General features: G+C 45.7%; 1 long non-coding RNA gene across 2 annotated transcripts in view; it reads right to left on the minus strand.

Annotated features, from left to right (window-relative positions):
• LINC02733 (long intergenic non-protein coding RNA 2733) overlaps nucleotides 1-20,323 on the minus strand; it is a 32,467-nt gene extending 12,144 nt beyond the window's left edge. The window contains exons 1-2 of one of the 2 annotated variants that reach the window (NR_183617.1): nucleotides 19,615-20,323; nucleotides 15,278-15,494 (exon numbers count right to left, since the gene is read on the minus strand). This is a non-coding gene — a long non-coding RNA (long intergenic non-protein coding RNA 2733). Of the gene's footprint in view, nucleotides 1-15,277; nucleotides 15,495-19,614 lie in introns of those variants that run through there. The other variant, NR_183616.1, reaches the window with a different exon arrangement.
• Nucleotides 20,324-23,639: the final 3,316 nt, after the last annotated feature.

Raw genomic sequence — 23,639 nt, forward strand, 5'->3', positions numbered from 1 at the left:
AAAGACAAGCGTCCACTGTTCTCTAATGTGGCTGGTTTTCCTAACTCCTCACATACTGATTCCCTCTTCATTGGATGTCCCCAAGGCCAGAGCACAGTCTGATTTGTCCAGAGCCACTTTGTGAGTGGAAAAAAAAACCAACTGATTTTCCTCTGCTCTCACACTACACAATAAAGACAGAAGACTTCTGTGACCAAATGTGTGGGTTTTTTTCCCCACATGCCAAGCAATCAATCAATTTTGCCATGGACACCAGCTGAGCGTCCTCCAGTTTAATTCTGACACCACCTACCCAGAAATAGCATCAGATCTCCCAGGTTTAGAGCTCAGTGCCTCAGGACTGCCCCCCTCGCTTTAGACACCAGTTGCATCTCAAGATGCGTGATGCAATTAGGCGCATAGCCAGACATACTTTACCCCAGGCTGGGGCTCAGGGCCCAGGTTCTAGTCCCAGCAATGCCTCCAACAGGGTGTGAGAATGAGCTATTTCCTCTACTTCTGTTTGTACCAATGAAATACACAAAAACACCACTAGCCCTGGGCCCAGGCTTTCACTGTCAAAGGGATTTGAAGAATTTTGTCATCATATTTGAACCTCAAAACAGTCCCAGGAGAAGCAGGCCATGTTTTAAGATGATGTCATCCATTGCTTTCTTGGTATGAACTAAGCACCTTGCCCTCCCTCCCTCTTCCTAGGGGAAGGCTTAGACATTTCTGGCTCCAGTCAATTAACAACCTCATCTTGACTGACTTATTGAAAGAATTAAGTAGCTGGGATTACAGGCATGTACCACCATGCCCAGCTAATTTTGTATTTTTTAGAGAAGACTGGGTTTCACCATGTTGGTCATGCTGGTCTTGAACTCCTGACCTCAGGTGATCTACCCGTCTTGGCCTCCCAAAGTGCTGGGATTACAGGCATGAATCACCATGCCCGGCAACCATCACAGGTCATGATGGTTGCAGGGGTCCTGTAATCATCTCTCAGTCCTTGCTGATCCATGTGTAAGGTGCAGTTCCTCTGGTGTTAATGCCTAGCAAATGGACTTTGTATCTTAATATGAAGGAAAGGGAAGGTGCTATGGTCTAAATGTTTGTATCTCCCCAAAATTTATATGCTGAGACCTAACCCCAAGATGATGGTATTAGGAGGCAGGGCCGTTGGGAAGTGATTAAGTCATGACAGCAGAGCTCTCATGCATGGGATGAGTATCCTTCGAGGCCCTAAAGAGACCCCTCACTCTAGAAGATGCCGTCTGTGAACCAGAAAGCAGGCCCTCCCCAGATACCAAATCTGCAGGCACCTTGATCTTGGACTTCCCAGCCTCCAAAACTGTGAAAAAAAGAACTGTTGACTGACCAGCTTCAAGGGTTCCCACGGCCCCCTCTTTAGGCTCAATTAATTTGCTAGAGCAACTTACAGGATTCAGGGAAATACTGATGTTTACCAGTTTATTATAGAAGATATGACGAAGGATACAGATGAAGAGGTGCATAAAAAGAGATATGGGGGTGCTGAGTGTGGTGGCTCACACCTGTAATCCCAGCACCTTGGGAGGTTGAGGTGGGCAGAGCACAAGGTCAGGAGTTTGAGACCAGCCTGGCCAACATGGTGAAACCCCATCTCTACTAAAAAAATTTAAAAATTAGCTGGGCATGGTGGCACACGCCTGGAGTCCCGGCTACTCGGGAGGCTGAGGCAGGAGAATCGCTTGAACCTGGGAGGTGGAGGTTGCAGTGAGCCGAGATGGTGCCACTGTACTCCAGCCTGGGCAACAAAGCAAGACTCCATCTCAAAACAAACAAACAAACAAAAAGGTATGGGGGAGGAGAATGGAGCTTCCACGCCCTCCCCAGGCAAATCACACTCCAAGAACCTTTCTGTGTTCAGCTGTCTGGAAGCTCTTCATACTCCATCCTCCTGGGCTTTTTTTTTTTTTTTTTTTTGAGATGGAGTTTGGCTCTTGTTGCCCAGGCTGGAGTGCAATGGCCCAGCCTCAGCTCACTGAAACCTCCACCTCCCGGGTTCAAGCTATTCTCCTGCCTCAGCCTCCCAAGTAGCTGGGATTACAGATAGCCCACCACCACACCCAGCTAATTTTTGTATTTTTTGTAGAGACGGGGTTTCACCATGTTGGTCAGGCTGGTCTTGAACTCCTGACCTCAGGCAATCTGTTCGCCTTGGCCTCCCAAAGTGTTGGAAGCACAGGTGTGAGCCACCACGCCTGGCCCCTCCTTGGCTTTTTATGGAGACTTCATTGGTTAGACATGATTGAAGCATGGACAGCCATGCAGAAATGTGATTGAACCAAAAGGGATTGATCAAAGGCTAATGGACTGACTCAGGAATGCCAGCAAGGCCTGTCTATCTAGATTCTTCTTGACCTCTCTGTGCAGCTGTCCTTCCTCCAGGGTATGGGGCAGGATCTTGTCTGGAATGGTTGTCTTGTAACCTACAATTAGGCGAGGTAGGTTGGGGAATTTCTTTAGGGCTAGCTCCTAGACAAAAAGGCAGGAAAATGATTACTGCCTTGGGGAGAAAAAGGAGCAGGTAAAAGGAGGGCAGGAGAAGGTCAGGGAGAGAGATTCTGTTTTCTGAGGCTGGGTCAGAGGCCTAAAACACCCCAATATTATCACAAAAGACTATGACAAGGGCTATGGGAGTTATGAGCCAGAAACCATGGGTGAGAACCAATACATATGTATCATAATGTCACACCAACTAACCAGCTCTGAAGTTTTCACTTTTCCCTGGAGCTTTCTATTTCTTCTGCTATCTTTTTTCCTTTTTTTTTTTTTTTTTTTTTTTTTGAGTTTCACTCTTGTTGCCCAGGCTGGAGTGCAATGGCCTGGTCTTGGCTCACCACAACCTCTGCCTTCTGGGTTCAAGTGATTCTCCTCCTCAGCCTCCGGAGTACCTGGGATTACAGGCACCTGCCACCACGCCTGGCTAATTTTGTATTTTTAGTAGAGATGGGGTTTCTCCATGTTGGTCAAGCTGGTCTCAAACTCCCAACCTCAGAAGATCCACCCACCTCGGCCTCCCAAAGTGCTGGGATTACAGGCATGAGCCACAGCGCCCAGCCTATTTCTTCTGCTTTCTTGTGGGCTATTTCTCCCCCTTGATCTTCTCTTCCAATGTTCCTTCCTCCTTTGCCTGGGAAGGCCCTGATGAACACCACCAGACTTGGATACCCACCTACCGATGGAGCAAATGAAGAGAGGATCAAGGACAAAGCCCTTTAACGTCCCTCCATCTTGGTGCCTCCCTCACCAGCACTCAGACCAGAAGTATCAGGCAGAGAAGAAGCCTTAAAAACTCTTTCCACAGTGTCCAGCCTTGGAGGAATTGGAGAACAGCAGCTAAAGCCTGAATTTGAGGGATAAAGATAAAGTATGGAGAAGGCCGAAATTAAACCCAAATCTGTATCAACTCAGGGCTTTCACAGGCAGCAAAGACCCCTAGATCTATCATGAATCTGAGTCATTGCCTTGTAGCCCCTATCTAGCAGTTGATCTGTTGATATTTCCATTCTTCATTCAATTTCAACTTACAAGGGGACTTCTCTCACACCAGCACTCCACAAACTGTTGTGGGTGATGCCAAGACACCAAACGACAACATCCAGCCCTTAGTGAGCTGGTGGTGGGAATGTGAGAAGCACATGGAAGATACATGCTGGTCTCTATGGTTAGTTCAGCATCCAACTGCACACACAGTTGATGCATGCCAGAGGAGTTCAAAGGAAGGTATATTTAGGGACTGTATTAGTGTCCTCTGGGTGCCGTCACAAAGTGCCACAAGCTGGGTGGCTTAAAACAGCAGAGATTTAGGCCGGGCGTGGTGGCTCACACCTGTAATCCCAGCACTTTGGGAGGCCGAGGTGGGTGGATCACCTGAGGTTGGGAGATCGAGACCAGCCTGACCAACACGGAGAAACCCCGTCTCTACTAAAAATACAAAAATTAGCTGGGCATGGTGGCGGGTGCCTGTAATCTGAACTACTCGGGAGGCTGAGGCAGGAGAATTGCTTGAACCTGGGAGGCACAGGTTGTGGTGAGCTGAGATTGCGCCACTGCACTCCAGCCTGGGCAACAAGAGCAAAACTTCATCTCAAAACAAACAAACAAACAAACAAACAAACAAAACAGCACAGATTTATTCTCTCATAGCTTTGAAGGTGAAAAGTCCAAAATTTCCAGGCAAGACTCCTTCCTCAATTAGGAGTCTTCAGCTGTTGGTTGTTGCCAGCTATCCATACCATTCCTTGGCTTTGTAACTGCATCACCCTGATTCTGTCTTCATCTTACATGGCTGTGTTCTTTCTGTGTGTGTCTCTGCCTCTGTGACCAAATTTCTCTCTTCTTACAAAGAAGAAGTTATAGCCCACCTGAATCCAGTATTACCTTATTTTTACTTGGTTACATCTGTAAAGATCCTATTTCTTTTTTTATTTTAACTCAGCTAAAAAAGATCACATTTCCAGGCTGGGCGTGGTGGCTCATGCCTGTAATCCCAACACTACGGGAAGCCAAGGTGGCAGGATCATTTGAGCCCAGGAGTTCGAGACCAGCGTGGGCAACATGGCGAAAGTCTGTCTCTACAAAATAATACAAAAATTAGCCAGGAGTGGTGGTGCGTGCCTATAGTTGCAGCTACTTGGGAAGCTGGAGCAGGAGGATCTCTTGAATCTGGGAGATGGAGAGTGCAGTGAGCCAAGGTTTCGCCACTGCACTCCAGCCTGGGCGACAGAGTGAGTCCCTGTCTCAAAAAAAACTAAAACATAAAAGGAAAGAAAAGATCTTATTTTTTTTAATTTTTATATTTTTTGAGACAGCATCTCGCTCTGTCGCCCAGGCTGGAGTGCAATGGCATGATCTCGGCTCACTGCAACCTCCACCTCCTGGGTTCAAGCGATTCTCCTGCCTCAGCCTCCCGAGTAGCTGGGACTACAGGCACCCGCCACCACGCCCAGCTAATTTTTATACTTTTAATAGAGACGGGGTTTCATCATGTTGGCCAGGATGGTCTCAATCTCTTGACCTTGTGATCCACCCGCCTTGGCCTCCCAAAGTGCTGGGATTACAGGCGTGAGCCACCGCGCCCAGCCAGAAAAGATCTTATTTTTAAATAAAATCATGTTCACAGGGACTGGGGTTAGGACTTGAATATATCTTTTGAGGGGACACAATGCGACCTATACCAGGTAGATAAAACAAAGGCTGGACAAAGTGATTGATTTTTCACTGTAGAGGTCACAGGACTGTACCCCTGGGCTTGGAACCGAGAATCAGGGAAGAATATAATGAAAGATCAAAGATGCTGGGGGCAAGATCTTGCATCCTTGACCCTTGAGTCATGTGTTAGTTTCCTAGGGCTGTGGTAGCAAAGTACCACAAAGGTGGTGGCTTAAAGCAATAGAGATTGTCGAAGCCCAAAATCTGAAATCAAGGTGTGGGTCAAGGCCATGTTCCTGCCTGCAGCTCCAGGGGAAGATCTCTCCTTGCCTTCTTAGATTCTGGTGGCCACAGGCATTCCTTGGCTTGTGGGAGCATTGCTCCAATCGCCGCCCCTGTCTTCACCTTGGCCTTCTCCTTTGTGTCTCTGTGTCTTCTCCTCATCAAGAGGGCCCCCCAGGGTAATCCAGGACAACTTTATTGTATCTGTAGAGACTGTTTTCCCAAATAAGGGCAGATTTACAGATTCTGGGGCATGGACATATCTTGTTGGGGACGACCATTCAACTTACTACATGTGATATTCCTGATGTTTAGGGAATGCACTTTTTAAAATTTTTCTTCATTATATATATATATATTTTTTAGAGACGGGGTCTCACTCTATTGCCCAGGCTGGTCTCGAACTCCTGAGCTCAAGGGATTCTTCTACCTCGGACTCCCAAAGGGCTGGGAGTTCACAGGCGTGAGCCACTGCGCCTGACCGGGAAATGTGCTTTGATTTGTCACCCATTCACTCAATAATACTTGTGCCCATTATGTGCCAGGGACTATTCTAGGTGCTAGAGACACAGCAATGCAGGTTCCTGCTCTTCATGCAGTTTTTTTGTTTTGTTTTGTCTTTTGTTTTTTCGAGACAGAGTCTTGCTCCATCACCCAGGCTGAAGTGCAGTGGTGCGATCTCCGCCTCTTGGGTTCAAGTGATTCTCCTGTCTCAGCCTCCCAAGTAGCTGGAATTACAGGCACATGCCACCACGCCCAGCTAATTTTTTAATATTTTTAGTAGAGATGAGGTTTTGCCATGTTGGCCAGGCTGGTCTCAAGCTCCTGACCTCAGGTGATCCGCCTGCTTCAGCCTCCCAAAGTAGTGGGATGTGAGCCACTGTGCCTGGCTGTTTTATTTGTTTTGTTTTGTTTTGTTTTAAGATGAAGCCTCACTCTATTGCCCAGGCTGGAGTGCAGTGGCGTGATCTTGGCTCATTGCAACCTCCACCTCCCAGGTTCAAGTGATTCTTCTGCTTCAGCCTCCCAAGTAGCTGGGATTACAGGTGCCTGCCACCATGCCAAGCTATTTTTTTTGTATTTTTAGTAGAAATAAGGTTTCACCATGTTGGCCAGGGCTGGTCTTGAACCTCTGACCTCAAGTGATCCTCCTGCCTTGGACTCCCAAAGTGTTGGGATTATAGGCGTGAGCCACTGTGCCTGGCCTTTTGTGCAGTTTTTATTCTAGGGGGAGGAGATGGACAATACGTTATTAGACAAATAGACAAGGAAATATTTAGGATAAGGGCTGCAAGGAAATGCAGCAGGGATGAGTGATGGTGTGACTGGGGGGCTACTGCAACCTAGAGGAAAAGGCCTCTGTGTAGAGGTGACATTTAAGCCGAGGGCTGAGTGCCAACAAGGAGACAGCCATGCGGAGACCTGGGACAAGCATTTCTGGCAGAAGAAACAGTAGGAGCAAAGGCCCCGAGGTAGGAGTGAGCTGAGCACATTCAAAGAACAGAAAGATGGTGCAAATATCTAAAACATGGTGAGTCAGAAAGAGAGGGGCTGGATTTGGGGTTGGAGAGGCTGACTGAGCCAGATCACATGGGGCCTGGAGGCCAGCAAGGAAGCTGGGCTTTTATTCCAGGGGCCAGGGGAATCCATTAGGTTTTTTGTTGTTGTTGTTGTTGTTATTGCTGTTGGGAGTCTTGCTCTGTTGCCAGGCTAGAGTGCAGTGGCACAATCTTGGCTCACTGCAATCTCCACCTCCTGGGTTCAAGCGATTCTCCTGCCTCAGCCTCCTGAGTAGCTGGGATTACAGGTGCGCACTACCACGCCCGGCTAATTTTTGTATTTTTAGTAGAGACAGGGTTTCACCATGTTGGCCAGGCTGGTCTCGAACTCTTGACCTTGTGATCTGCCCACCTCGGCCTCTCAAAGTGCTGGGATTACAGGCTTGAGCCACAGCCCCCGGCCGATCCATTAGGTTTTAAGCAGGGGAACACTATGATCTCAGTCATGTGCTTAAAAGCTCACTCTGGCTGCTGAGGGAAACATGGGCTGCAGAGGGCCAGAGTCGAAGCAGGGAAATGAGTTAGGAGGAGGTCACTGCTGCAGTACCCAGAGGTGGCGATGGTAGCTTGGACCAGGGCATGGCCGCAGAGGTGGAGGGATGGATTCCCGACGAGTTCTGGAGGTGGAGGTGACAAGAGGCCCTGACAGATTGGTCGTGTGGGGTGAGTAAAGAAGAGACTCCAGAATGAGTCTTAGGTTTCAGAAGCCAGCAAATAAGTTTCTGTTGTCACTGCTTTAATTCTGGTAAAATACATGTCACACAAAATTTACCATTTTAACCATTTTAAAGTGTACCGTTCCATGGCATTAAGTGCATTCATAATGTTGTGTAACCATCACCACGATCTATTTCCAGAGATTTTCTGGGTTTATGCACATGTATTGAACAATCTGAGTATTCGTCAGATTCTGTTGAGAGAAGAGTGTGCAAAGTTTCTTGCGAGCCAGTGTTCCTGTCCATAAAGACCACCTCTGATGGGGGCTGCGATTTCCTCCAATTGTTTCCAGTTGGCTCCTGGGGCTGGGGAACATGACATCCTATTTTATTTTCCTTTTGCTTCTGCCTCAGCAGAACCTAGGAGAAATCCTGGCATGGTGCCGGATGATCAATTTCATCTGGACCTTAATGAGGACCGAGGCCCTGACACTCTATGCTTCCTGCCGCCTCCATGCACACACACAAGAGAATTCTGAGTGCAGTAAGGGTTAAAAATCCTTTTGACACTAACCTAAAGCTTTGCTCCCTCTGGTCCACATGGGGAAATCAGTTACGGATAGGAAAGGTCGACTGAAGGATAGACAGAGTGCCTGATGTTTCCAGCTGAAATCCTAGGAGGCCTGACTGCAGAGCTCTGCAGAGAGGTCGGGAGGAGTGCGGAGGTGGTGGGGGTGGGGGTGTGTGTAGGGGTGGCTATGGTGTGCAGAGACCCTGGCTTTTCACTGTTGCCTTTAGAGAGGTCTTTAATGCCTACATTAACCCTAGGGCTACCGAGGGAGAACCTACAGCTTTGCAATACAGACTAAGAATGCTACTCCCTCTCTCTCCCACTGCCTATCCCCAAGATTGGGCTCCACTGAGTGATGTGTGTAGCTGCTAACAATTTCTTCTATAGTTTAATTTAGAATTGAGGCCATGCGGGTGTCTAGCTGGTATTAGGTTGGTGCAAAAGTAATTGCGGTTTTTGCCATTAAAAGTAATTTTGCCTGCCGGGCACGGTGGCTCACACCTGTAATCCCAGCACTTCAGGAGGCTGAAGCGGGTGGATCACCTGAGGTCAGGAATTCAAGACCAGCCTGGCCAATGTGGTGAAACCCTGTCTCTACTAAAAAATACAAAAATTAACCGGACATGGTGGTATGTGCCTGTAGTCCCAGCTACTCAGGAGGCTGAGACAGGAGAATCGCTTGAACCCAGGAGGTGGAGGTTGCAGTGAGCTGAGATCACACCACTGCACTCCTGCCTGGGTGATAGAGTGAGATCTGTCTCAAAAAAAAAAAAAAAAAGTAATTTTGCCATTATTTTTAACAGCAAAAACCTCAATTACTTTTGCACCAATGTAATAAACAGTTTCATTTCATAATCCTCTGGGACGAAACTGCATGGGCCATCCTACAGGTAAGAGGAGGAATCATATTCAGTAGTCCCCCAACTTATCAACAGTGGGTACATTCCAAGACCCTCAGTGGATATGTGACATCGTGGATAGTCCTGAACCCCATATATACTATGCATGCACACCAATAAAAAGTTTAATTTATAAATTAAGCATAATAAGAGATTAGCAACATTAATAATAAAATAGAACTATTGGGCTGGGCGTGGTGGCTCACACCTGTAATCCCAGCACTTTGGGAGGCTGAGGCAGGAGGATTTCTTGAGTCCAGAAGTTCAAGACCAGCCTGGGCAATAAAGCGAGACACCATCTCTAAAATATAAAAATAAAGAACAATGATAACAACAGACTACAATAAACTACTATAATAAAAGTGATGTGAATGTGATCTGTCTCAAAATATCTGTACTGTACTCACCCTCTGATGAGATGATGCAGTGTGGTGAGCTGCACGAGATGAGTGGCATAGCATTGTAATGAGTGTTGGGCTTCTCTTGAGCTTCTGACAAACATCAGGAGGATCATCTGCTTCAGGTGATCCTGCATCACCGGGCCATGATGATGTCAATGGTTGGATGTCAGGAGCAGATGATATCAATGATATCAACTATCAATTGATAGTTGAAGGGTTTTTTTGCTGAAATCTTTTGGAAGAACATTGTAATCTGAAGATATTGTCTCTTTCTTTCTTTTTTTCTTTGAGATGGAGTTTCGCTCTTGTTGCCCAGGCTGGAGTGCAATGGCGTGATCTCGGCCCACTGCAACCTCCACCTCCCAGGTTCAAGCGATTCTCCTGCCTTAGCCTCCTGAGTAGCTGGGATTACAGGCATGCGCCACCATGCCCGGCTGATTTTGTATTTTTGATAGAGATGGGGTTTCTCCATGTTGGTCAGGCTGGTCTCGAACCCCCGACCTCAGGTGATTCACCTACCTCGGCCTCCCAAAGTGCTAGGATTACCGGCATGAGCCACCATGCCCAGCCTTTTCTTCTTTTTCTTTCTTTTTTTTTTTGAGATGGAATTTTGCTCTTGTTGCCCAGGCTGGAGTGCAATGGCACAATCTCGGCTCACCACAACCTCTGCCTCCCGGATCCAAGCAATTCTCCTGCCTCAGCCTCCCAAGTAGCTGAGATTACAGGCGCCCGCCACCACACCCAGCTAATTTTTGTATTTTTAATAGAGATGGGGTTTCACCATGTTGGCCAGGCTGGTCTTGAACTCCTGACCTCAGGTGATCTGCCTGCCTCGGCCTCCCAAAGTGTTGGGATTACAGGCATGAGCCACCGCGCCCAGCCCGTCTCTTTCTTTCTAACTGATCAAAGTGTTGCTGCAGGCGTTGTAATCCTTCAGTGATCATTCAAGTGACCTTGATGCTGCCCTCCATTTGAGGATTGTATTCCATAATTTTGCCCTTTAATGTCTATGCAATTTGAAACACTGGCAAATTTTTATTATTGATTCATTTATTTTTTGGAGGCAGGGTCTCACTCTTGCCCAGGCTGGAGTGCAGTGGTGCAGTCATGGCTCACTCCAGCCTCAATGGCCTGGGCTCAAGCAATCCTCTGGCCTTGGCCCCCCTTTAGCTGGAAGCACAGGCACATACCAGCACATCCTGCTAATTTTTAAATTTTTGGTTGAAATGGGGTCTCACTTTGTCATCCAAGCTGGTCTCAAACACTCGGGCTCAAGCAATCCTCCTGCCTTGGCCTCCCAAAGTGCTGGGGTTACTCATGAGCCACTGTGCAGGCCTTGAACTGTCTTTTTAATCTGTATTTTCTCAGTATGGCACTGTTTGTGGTAGAGTTTGGCCTTCTTTGAATGTTCATGAGCCTCCCAACTATCCTTCTTTCTCTTTTTCTCGTGGTAATCCAAACAACACCCATAGTGTTGACAGGGTAACTCAATATATTCATTTTGTGGCCTGGTAACAACCCCAAAGCCACCTGGTGCAGCCCCCAGGGCCTAGAGAAGCTATGAATTTTGGGGTCTCAAAGACCCACAAGCTGACTCAGTGCAGCTTTCAACAAAGGGTCATCTTCTCAAGGAGAAAGCGTTTAATTGAACTAAACTGGGAGCTTCTCAGGGTTTTACCACAAACCTAGCCCCGAGCGTGTCTACAAAATTACTGACATGAAGGCTTTGTTTGTTGAACTGCTCTTCATCTCATAAGCAGAAGAAAAAGAATAGTAAAAAGAATTCCTGCCATATATTACTCTGGAATAAACTGTTGGAAGTGCCACTCTAAAACATTTTTATGGTGAACACTTCGGTGATATGTTTTCTATTCCTCCTATCCCATTCACTGTTTCTATGCCAAAATAGGGTAGGTCTTATCTCCAGTCTACAGTCAAAGAAACTCATTCAGCTCTAAAAGTAGAAGCAGAATTTATACCATGTTCACAACGGTCACTAATTACAGAAACTCAGATTTAGTATGTTTCCAATCCCCTTTTAAAGTGAGTACTGGCCAGGCACCGTGGCTCATGCCTGTAATCCCAGCATTTTGGGAGGCCAAGGCAGGAGGATTGCTTGAGGCCAGGAGTTTGACATCAGCTTGGGCAACATAGTGAATCTCCATCGCTACTAAAAATGTAAAATAAAAAATCAACTAGTCAAAAATGGTGGCACTCGCCTGTAGCCTTAGCTACTTGGGGGGAATGAGGGAAGACACTCCCTTGAGTCTAGGATTTTGAGGTTGCAGTGAGCTCTGATCGCACCACTGCATGCCACAGTGACACTGCGTCTCTAAAATAATAATAATAATGATGATATTAAGATGAGTACGGCCAGGCCAAAGCTTCATAATTTCTCTCTTAGTACACATGAGAATAGGTCTGAGATTCATCATTCATTGATTCCACAAGTATTTCTTTTTTTTAAAAAAAGACAGAGTCTCACTCTGTTGCCCAGGTTGGTCTCGAACTCCCAGGCTTCAGAGATCTTCTCACCTCAGCCTCCCATAGTGCTGGGATTATAGGTGTACACCACTGCGCCTGGCCCAACAAATATTTCTTTCTCTCTCTCTTTTTTAAAAATTTACCATAAAGTCTTTTATCCCTAACAAATGTTTTTTGAATACCTTCCACATGCATGTTCCCAGGAAAGACTTATACAGGCCAGGTGTGGTGGCTCACGCCCTTGTAATCCCAGCACTGTAGGAGGCCAAGGTGGGGACATTGTTTGAGCCTGGGAGTTCAAGACCAGCCTGGACAACATAATGAGACCTTGTCTTTATAAAATAAAAATAGGGCAGTGCGCGGTGGCTCATGCCTATAATCCCGACACTTTGGGAGGCCAAGGCAGGTGGATCACTTGAGGTCAGGAGTTCGAGACCAGCCTGGCCAACATGGTGAAACCCCATCTCTACCAAAAATACAAAAATTAGCTGGGCGCAGTGGCATGTGCCTGTAATCCCAGCTACTTGGGAGGCTGAGGCAGGAGAATTGCTTGGATCCGGGAGGCAGAGGTTGCAGTAAGCCGAGATCATGTCACTGCACTCCAGCCTGGGCAACAGAGCGAGACTCTGTCTCAAAGTAAATAAATAAATAAAATAAAAATAAAAATAAAATTAGGCCAGATGCAGTGGCTCAAGCCTGTAATCCCAGCATTTTGGGAGGCCGAGGCGGGTGGATCATCTGAGGTCGGGAGTTCAAGACCAGCCTGACCAACATTGAGAAACCCCATCTCTACTAAAAATACAAAATTAGCCAGACGTGGTGCTGCATGCCTGTAATCCCAGCTACTCGGGAGGCTGAGGCAGTAGAATTGCTTGAACCCGGGAGGTGGAGGTTGTGGTGAGCCGAGATCGCGCCATTGCATTCCAGCCTGGGCAACAAGAGTGAAACTCTGTCTCAAAAATAAATAAATAAATAGAAAGACTTACATGAAAAAAGTAGGCCGGGCGCAGTGGCTCACGCCTGTAATCCCAGCACTTTGGGAAGCCGAGGTGGGCGGATCACCTGAGGTTGGCAGTTCGAGACCAGTCTGACCAACATGGAGAAACCCCATCTCTACTAAAAATACAAAAAAATTAGCCAGGCATGGTGGCCCATGCTTGTAATCCCAGCTACTCAGGAGGCTGAGGCAGGAGAATCACTTGAACCCAGGAGGCAGAGGTTGTGGTGAGCCGAGATCGAGCCATTGCACTCCAGCCTGAGCAACAAAAGTGAAACTCTGCCAAAAAAAAAAGTAGAAGATCGTTCTTACTTTGGGAAGCTAGTGCCTATAACAGATTGACCCACAATGATGGTACTATAACCTAAAAAGGTAAACAACAGGACTGTGGTGGCAGGGGAAGAGGAGCATCAGAGATCCTACATGAGTTCAACTAGATGGAGGACTGCGGAGAGAGGAGAGAGAATGGAAAAAGAGGGTGCCAAAAGCCACAGCCTGTAGCCTGTGCAGGGACCAGGGACAGGGGTGGCTCAGAAGGAACTGCTGCTTCCTACAATGCTGGAGTGGCCTGGGGCTTAGGAAAGCCAGAGGGCAGGATTCAGTCATGCAGTGAAGAGAAGGACTAATGAAAGGCCTGGACGGTAACTCCTGATTCCTCTCATTCTGTCCTGTCTTGAAGCCCAGAATCCAGAGAGTCAGGTTTTTCCATGTTTCACCCCATGCCAAAAAGTGGAGCCCTCTTCTTTAGTGAAATGGAAAGCCCTAAAAAGAGATAATCAAAACTGCTGGTTTCCCACACTGTCTCCCTAAAGCGAAGTCTGCTGCTACAATCCCTGACCTTGGATGGAATCGCAGTCCTCTTACTAGTGCTTCATTTAAAAAATATTAACTTGGTTGGACGTGGTGGCTCACGCCTGTAATGCCAGCACTTTGGGAGGCCAAGGAGAGCAGATCACCTGAGGTCAGGAGTTCGAGACCAGCCTGGGCAACATGGTGAAACCCCATCTCTACTATAAATACAAAAGTTAGCCAGGCGTGGTGGCGGGCGCCTGTAGTCCCAGCTACTTGGGAGGCTGAGGCAGGATAATCACTTGAACCTGGGAGGCGAAGGTTGCAGTGAGCCAAGACTGCGCCATTGCACTCCAGCCTGGGTAACAAGAGCGAAACTCGGTCTGAAAACAAAATAATAATAATAAAGTAAATAAAAATAAAAATATTAACTTTATTGAAGTGCAATTTACACACAATAAAATACACTTTTTTTTTTTTGAGACAGAGTTTCACTCTTGTTGCCCAGGCTGGAGTGCAATGGCGCGATCTCAGCTCACCACAACCTCCACCTTCCGAGTTCAAGTGTTCTCCTGCCTCAGTCTCCCAAGTAGCTGGGATTACAGGCATGCGCCACCACACCCGGCTAATTTTGTATTTTTAGTGGAGACGGGGATTTCTCCATGTTGGTCAGGGTGGTCTCTAACTCCCAACCTCAGGTGATCTGCCTGCCTCGGCCTCCCAAAATGCTGGGATTACAGGCGTGAGCCACCACGCCCAGCCTACACTCATATTTACGTGAGCACTTTGATGGGTTGTGACAAACATTTATACCCACGTATCCACCAACACAACAGGACATAGAACATTTCCACCACCCCAGAACTTTCCTCACGTCCCTTTATGATCCATACCACTCCCACCTTGGTCCCAGGACTGGGAAACCACTGACCTGCTTTTTTGTTGTATTAAGTTGTTTGTCCTTTTCTATTTTCCTTTCCCTATTTTATTTTATTTATTTATTTTTTTGAGAGGGAGTCTCGCTCTGTTCCCCAGGCTGGAGTGCAATGGCATGATCTCTGCTCACTGCAACCTCTGCCTCCCGGGTTCTAGGGATTCTCCTGCCTCAGCTTCCTGAGTAGCTGGGATTACAGGTGCCCGCCACCAGGTATGCCTCATTTTTATGTTTTTAGTAGAGATGGGGTTTCACCATGTTGTTCAGGCTGGTCTCGAACTCCTGACCTCAGGTGATCCACCCGCCTCAACCTCCCAAAGTGCTAGGATTACAGGGGCGAGCCACCACGCCCGGCCCTTTCCCTATTTTAGATGAAGGAAATCACTCTATTGTGTCCAGCCTCTTTTGCTTGGTATAATGCGTTGAGATTTACCATGTTGTTACGTCTGTCAGTACTTAATTGCTTTTGATTGGTGAATATTGTCTTAGTATTTTTGGGCTGTTGTAACAAAATACCTTAGACTGGGTAATTTGCAATCTATGTACATTTATTGCTCACAGTTCTGGAAGCTGGGAATTCCAAGAACATGGCATCAGCAGATTCACTGACTGATGAGGGCTTGCTCTCAGTTTCAAGGATGGTGCTTTCTAGCTGTGTCTTCACATGGGAAAAGACATAAACACGTTCTCTCAGGCCTCTTTTTTTTTTTTTTTTGAGACAGGATCTCTGTGCTAGAATGGCAACTGAAAATAAAAAAAGAAAAAATATGCTAGAATGATAATTGAAAATAAAGTTTTTAAAAAAAGATAGGGTTTCCCTGTGTTGGCCACACTGGAGTGTAGTGGCGGGATCACGGCTCACTCAGTCCTCTTTTATAAGGGCCCTGATTCTTTCATGAGGCTTTACCCTCATGAACATATCACTTCCTAAAGGCCCCATCTCTTTTATTTATTTATTTTTTTGAGATGGAATTTCGCTCTTGTTGCTCAGGCTAGAGTGCAATGGCGCCATCTCGGCTCACTGCAACCTCCACCTCCTGGGTTCAAGCGATTCTCCTGCCTCAGCCTCCCAAGTAGCTGGGATTACAGGCATGCACCACCATGCCAGGCCAATTTTGTATTTTTCTTTTTTTTCTTGAGATGGAGTTTTGCTGTTGTTGCCCAGGCTGGAGTGCAATGGCGTGATCTCGGCTCACTGCAATCTTTGCCTCCCAGGTTCAAACGATTCTCCTGCCTGAACCTCCCAAGTAGCTGGGATTACAGGCATCTACCACGCCCAGCTAATTTTGTATTTTTAGTAGAGATGGGGTTTCACCATGTTGGCCAGGCTGGTTTTGAACCCCTGACCTCAGGTGATCCACCTGCCTCGGCTTCCCAAAGTGCTGGGATTACAGGCGTGAGCCACCGCACCCAGCCAGGCCCCACCTCTTAACACAGGCTGAGCACCATCATTCAAAATGTGTTTTTTTTTTTTTAGACGGAGTCTCACTGTCACCCAGGCTGGCACAATCTCAGGTTACTGCAGCCTCTTCCTCCTGGGTTCAAGCGATTCTCCTGCCTCAGCCTCCCCAGTAGCTAGGATTACAGGCAACCACCACCACGCCCGACTAATTTTTGTATTTTTAGTAGAGACAGGGTTTCACCATGTTGGCCAGGCTGATTTTGAACTCCTGACCTCAGGTGATCCGCCTGCCTTGGCCTCCCAAAGTGCTGGGATTACAGGCGTGAGCCACCACGCTGGGCTTTGAAAAGCTTTTTGAGTACCAATGTGACCCTCAAAGGAAATGGTCATTGGAGCATTTCAGATTTCTGCTTTTTGGATTTGGGATGCCAGTAAATATTATGCAAATATTCCAAATCCAAAATGCTTCTGTTTCTAAGCATTCCAGATAAGGGATAGTTAGATTTCAACATATGAGTTTTGCGGGACAGAAACATTTAGATCATAGCAAATGGTATTCCATTCTATGGATATGCCACAATTCCTTTATTCATTCTCCTGTTGATGGATATTTGGGTCCTTTCTAGTTTGGGGGTTATTATAAATAAAGCTGCCAAGAACTTCTTCAGACAAATCTTTATGAGTATACATATTTTCTCTTGGGTAAACACCTACAGGTGAAATTGCTGGATCATGAAGTAAGTATATGTGAACTTTATAAGAAACTGCCAAAATGTTTTCCAAAATAGTTGTGTCATTTTTCATTCCCATCAGCAGCATATGAATGTCCCAGTTGTTCCACATCCTTGGCAACACTTGGCATTATCAGTTCGTTTACTTTTAGCCATTTTGGTGGGTGAAAAGTGGTATGTCACTGTGTTCTTAATTTGCATTTATTTGAATATAAGGTGAGGGCTTCCCCCCACCAAAATAGCATCCTTTGGAAAGAAGGGAGTTATATTTCTGTTCTTTTTTTTTTTTCTTTGAGACAGAGTTTTGCTCTTGTTGCCCAGGCTGGAGTGCAATGGTGTGATCTCGGCTCACTGCAACCACCACCTCCTGGGGTTTAAGTGATTCTCCTGCCTCAGCCTCCCGAGTAGCTGGGATTACAGGCATGTGCCACCATACCCAGCTAATTTTTGTATTATTAGTAGAGATAGAGTTTCACCATGTTTGCCAGGCTGGTCTCAAAGTCCTGACCTCAGGTGATCTGCCTGCCTTGGCCTCCCAAAGTGCTGGGATTACAGGTGTAAGCCACCGTGCCCGGCCTATATTTGTGTTCTTATAAAGTGCCTGAAAAGCTGGAGGACAATGGAGCAATGCCTTGAAAAGATTTATGGGAAAATGATTTCCTACCTGGAATTCAATTCCTAACCAGATCATCAATCAAGCAGAAGCAGAACAAAAGCCACTAAAAGACATGGAAAGTTTTCAAAAATTTTCACTACCGAGCATCCACCTCCAGAAGTCTTGAGGATGCGTTCTATAAAAATGAAGGAGTAAACCAGGAAAGAGAAAGCCATGAGACCCAGGAATCTAGGGCTCAACACAGGAGAGAAGAAAAGGAAATCCTCAGGGTGCTGGTGCAGGGAGATCCCAGGATGACAGCAACCTGGCCATTTGGGAGCCAGTCAGAAGGTGCTGGGAAAAATAGCCCAAGAAGATGATACTGGTAAAGTGCACTTTTCTTTTTTACTTTTTGAGACAGGGTCTCACTTTCTTGCTTTGTCACACAGGCTAGTTTGCAGTGGTGCCAACATGGCTCACTGCAGCCTCTATCCCCAGGCTCAAGCAATCCTTTTGCCTCAGTCTCCTGAGTAATTGGGACTGCAGCTGCACACCACCACAGCCTGTGGCTTATTTATTTATTTATTTATTTATTTATTTATTTATTTGAGATGGAGTCTTGCTCTGTCACCCAGGCTGGAGTGCAATGGTGTGATCTCAGCTCACTGCAACCTCCGCCTCCCGGGTTAAAGTGATTCTCCTGCCTCAGCCTCCTGAATAGCTGGGACTACAGGCCCGTGCCACCATGCCTGGCTAATTTTTGTATTTTTAGTAGAGCGGGGTTTCACCGTGTTAGCCAGGATGGTCTCGATCTCCTAACCTCATGATCCGCCCACCATGGACTCCCAAAGTCTTAGGATTACAGGCGTGAGCCACCGCACCCTGCGGCTAATTTTTTTATGTTTCTTATAGAGACGAGATTTCACCATGTAGCCTAGGCTAGTTTCAAACTCCTGAGCTCAGGCCATTGACCTGGACCTCTCAAAGTGCTAAGATTACAGGCATGAGCCACCACTTGTGGCCATAGTAAAATGCCTAATGTGCTTAAATATACAGAGTGGAGTTTCACACCTTCAGGAAATATTTGGGAAAAAAAACAGAGATAGGTACAGAGAAAGCAAAGCAAACAAATAAAAAATAAGACCAGCATTGAATCTAGGAAAAATAAAAGGTGGGGCTGAGTGATGGGGGTGGGGAGAGGGCTAAACCCCCATTTCCAGAGTCAGAAGTCAGTAGGTGATGTCTGATAGTCACGTGCTGGTAAGTAGAATATGAATACGGTGTTATTTTAAGACATGGAAGTAAATCCCAAAGGAATTGACTAAAATATTTCAAGTTTTGATCTGGGGAGCAGGATAGAAGAGGGACTTGAACTACTGATTCTTAGATTATGTGCATGTACATCTTTGATGAAAAAGAAAGCAAAACCAGACAAAATTATATGCATTGATTCGAGAAAGTAGTCACAATATAATGTTAAGTTAAATAACAGGATATAAAAGGTATATTCAGTATAGTCTCATTTTGTACATTAAATTGGAGGAGCTGATAGAAAAAATAAGAAGAAAATATTTCTAAGTGAAAAGATTAAGCATATATATATATTTTTTTGAGACACAATCGTGCTCTGTTGCCCAGGCTGGAGTGCAGTGGCATAATCATAGCTCATTATAACCTCAAACTCCTGGACTCAAGCGATTCTCCCACCTCAGCCTCCCCAGTAGCTAGGACTGTAGGCACATACCACCACACCTGACTAATTTTTTAATTTTTTGTAGAGGAGGGAGTCTCACTATGTTACCCAGGCTGGTCTGGAACTCCTGGTCTCAATCGGTCCTCCCGCTTTGGCCTCCCTAAGTGCTGGGATTGCAGGCGTGAGCCACTGCGCCTCTTCAGAACTAGGTGTAATTTAATTTTCTTCTTTATATTTTCTTAGATTTTCTAATTTTTATTTTCAAATTAACATTTATTAATTTGTAGCTAGAAAGGAAAACTTCTACAGATTGTAGAGACCAGGTTTTGCCATGTAGCCCAGGCTAGTCTTGCACTTCTGAGCTCAAGCCATCTGCTCACCTGTGCCTGTGGCTGCCAGCTCTGCAAAACCCTTCCTGAGATCAAGAAGGGGAAGCAACTTACCCAGGTTCACTCAGGCAGGTTTTGTGAATCCAAAACCATTGCTCTTTTATAGCTTCCTGTTTCTCCACTTGGGATTTCTTCCAGCTGAAAGCTTACTCATTATATGAAGGCTCAGAGCTCCCAGGTCAATGTCATCTTCTTCATGGAGCTGTGCCTGGAGATGACGCCCCCTTTCTCTGCTCCATTAAACCCGGTGTCTTTCCTGCTGTGTGTGCCAGCGGCTGTGTTGTGGTTGTGGGTGTGCTTGCTTTCGAGTCTTCGTTCTGCTATAAGCCCCTTGGAAGTAAGGACCACACCTTAGGTATTTCCATCTCTCCTTATGCAGCATCCAGGTGCATCACTCACGTGCAGGAGGGATTGGCTGAACACAGAGGCAGGTTAACTCAAGAATAAACTTTATTATTTGCTTTTAGGTGCTGTAGTGTGACGTGAAGCAGGTAGCTCATAATTGTGAAGATAAACTTGTGGAGTAGGTGGGTTTTGAGGTCCAGTAGGAAGATAGGCCCCACACAATGGTAGTTTGATTATTAATCAGCGTGGAGCAGGTGAATCAGCTGTTGCATTCCCCGGGAAGAACGCGGGCTCGGCCGGCCTGTGCTGGACTCTGGCGCCCCCAAATGGTCACGTGGGTTTATTACACATCGGAAGTAAACAGCTTTTACTGATGATGAAGTAGTGACTGTCTTGGTAGCTCTCTAGAAGCTCATTCGCCTTCTCTTTAAAGTTACACTTCACAGAGGCAGGATAATCCATCCGGTCAAGGAGAAAGGAAAATCGGATTAGGGCTTCCAATAAACCTGTAATATTTTAGGTGTACCGCTGAGTCATAAATATCAGCTAAGTCTGTTGTATCATCACCTGTACTTCTTTTTGCGCATCTTAAAATACCATTTAAAATAACGAAAAAAATCTACAACTTAGCTCTAGAGTATCATGCCTCCAAAAGACACTGGGTTTAATTTTTAGATGTTTTCCCTTTTTCGTTGGAGGTAAAAATAAAATTCAGGATTATGTTTTTCAGACCTATGTTTGTTTTCATACTTGTAAAACCTACATATGTATCCATAAACACACAGAGTATTGATTTGTGTTTCAATTTTAAAAAATTGATGTCACACTGTACCATTCTGAAGGTCTTTTTTGTTTGTTTGTTTGTTTTTTGAGATGGAGTCTCGCTCTGTTACCCAGGCTGGCGTGCAGTGGCGTGATCTTGGCTTACCGCAACCTCTGCCTCCCAGGTTCAAGCGATTCTCCTTCCTCAGCCTCCTGAGTAGCTGGGACTACAGGTGCGTGCCACCACATCTGGCGAATTTTTGTATTTTTAGTAGAAATGGGGTTTCACCATGTTGGCCCTGGCTGGTCTTGAACTCCCAACCTCAAGTAATCTGCCCACCTTGGCCTCCCAAAGTTCTGAGATGATAGGCACGAGCCACCACACCTGGCCATATCTTGCTTTTATTGATCAACATTGTGTTTAAGAATTATTCATGTTGGTACATATATTTCTAGTTGATTCACGTTTACCGCTGAAAAATTCCTCGTATAACTATGCACGTATATATATGTGTGTGTGTGTGTGTGTATCTATATATATATATATATATTTTTTTTTTTTTTTGAGACACAGGTTGTACTGTTGCCCAGGCTGGAATGCAATGGCACAATCTCTGCTCACTGCAACCTCCACCTCCCAGGTTCAAGCGATTCTCCTGCCTCAGCCTCCCGAGTAGCTGGGATTACAGGTGCCTGCCACCATGCCTGGCTAATTTTTTGTATTTTTACTAGAGATGGGGTTTCGCCATCTCTCACTTAACTAAGGTGATCTGCCCGTCGAAGTGCTGGGATTACAGGGGTGAGCCACTGCGCCTGGACTTTTTTTTTTAAATTCATTAAAATAATAGAAAAATAGAGACAGGGTCTTTGTGTTGCCCAGGCTGGTCTCAAATAGCTGAGCTCAAGCAGTCCTCCAGCCTTGGCCTCCCAAAGTGCTGGGATTACAGGTGTGAGCCACTGTGCCTGGTCTTTATGATATCTTTTTGTATTCCAAAGTCATAAGATAGTCATTTAATTTTGAAAATTATTTTAAAAATTTGCTTTTTACATTTAGATGCTTAAATCCCCTTGATTTTATTTATGTAGTTGGTGCAAGGTGAATGCTTCTTTATCTGTATGGGTGACTTTCTCTTGGGCAGGGTACACATTTAAAAGCTCCGAGGAAGCTTTTAAAAGACCATTTCTGGGCCTCATCACAGAACAGATGAAATCAAAATTTCTGAGTGTGGACCTGAGACATCAGATTTAAAAAATAAAAACAAAACTCTCCCAGGCGTTTTTTAACATGGAGCCAGGGCTGAGAATCTTTGCTTTAAGGTCAGACCAAGAGTAGAGTTGCTGGGGTGTGTATTATTCGCATTGTCAGCTATACTGGATGTTGCTGGTGCTCTCTAAAGTGATTAAACTAGGCCGGGCGCAGTGGCTCACGCCTGTAATGCCTGCACTTTGGGAGGCCAAGATAAGCAGATCACCTGGGGTCTGGAGTTTGAGACCAGCCTGGCCAACATGGTGAAACCCCGTCTCTACTAAAAATACAAAAATTAGCCAGGCGTGGTGGCAGGCGCCTGTAATCCCAGTTACTTGGGAGGCTGAGGCACGAGAATTGCTTGAACTTGGGAGGCAGAGGTTGCAGTGAGTAGAGATTGCACTGTTGCACTCCAGCCTGGGCAACAAAGCGAGACTCTGTCTAAAATAAATAAATAAATAAATAAATAAAATAAAGTGATTAAACTATTTATGGTCCTCAAGTAGGAGAATTTCAATTGCTTCACACTTTTGAAAATACATGTTGTGATATTTATATAAAACCAAGAACCATGGATGAAAAAACATATATGTGTGTCTCATATATGTATGCATTTCATATACATATGTGTTATAAACATATATATGTCTTTCATATATATATATATAAAATGTTTTCACCCATGATTCTTGGCTTATAACTCCCATAGCTCTTGTTATTACAGTTTCTGTTATAATGTTAGGGCACTTTAGTTCTCACAAGCAGGCTTCAGGAAACAGAATCTCTCTCTCTCTCTCTGACCTTCTCCTGCCCACCTTTTACCTGCTCCTTTTTTCTCCCCACCTTTTACCTGCTTCTTTTCCTATCTTTCTGTCTAGGAGCTGGTCATGAGGAAATTCTCTGGCCTACTTTGATTGTAGGTCACAATACCCTCATTTCAGACAGGTCCTGCCCTATTCCCTGGAAGGAATGCTGCACAGAGAGACCAAGAAGAATCTGATCAGATGGGCCTTGTTGGGTTTCCCCATTCAGCCTGTTAGTGTTAGATCGTACCCAATCATATTTATTTTATTTATTTATTTATTTATTTATTTATTTATTTATTTATTTTTTGAGATGGAGTCTCACTCTGTCACCTAGGCTGGAGTGCAGTGACGTGATCTCGGCTCACTGCAACCTCCGCCTCCCGGGTTCAAGCAATTCTCCTGCCTCAGCCTCCCAGGTAGCTGGGATTACAGGCTCCCACTACCATGCCTGGCTAATTTTTGTATTTTTAGTAGAGACGGGGTTTCACCATATTGGCCAGGCTGATCTCGAACTCCTGACCTCGTGATCCGCCCGCCTTGGCCTCGCAAAGTGTTGGGATTACAGGCGTGAGCCATCATGCCTGGCAATAAATTATTTCTTCAAATATTGTGGGGATACAACTGCAGAGATCTCAGATTTCAACGTGTTTTTGTCCAATGCTTATACCATTCAGGTTATAACCATTTCAGAAAAGGTCTGTATAATTCTGGCAATTCATGTATGGCCTTGTAGTGTTAGGTTTTTAGGTGTATATGTGGGATATGTGTGGTTTAGGAAAAAAGCCTTGCAACTTTACAAAGCACTGGACATACACTAGCTAGCCTTCTCTTCACTCCTGTCATTACTGATCTGTTTTCCCCATTTTAGTAAATGGTCAAGATTTACCCCTAGAGAAAGAGTCAGCTTGTGGCCAAATTCA

The sequence above is a fragment of the Homo sapiens genome, chromosome 11, assembly GCF_000001405.40.
Source record: "Homo sapiens chromosome 11, GRCh38.p14 Primary Assembly".
Classification (NCBI taxonomy): Eukaryota; Metazoa; Chordata; class Mammalia; order Primates; family Hominidae; genus Homo; species Homo sapiens.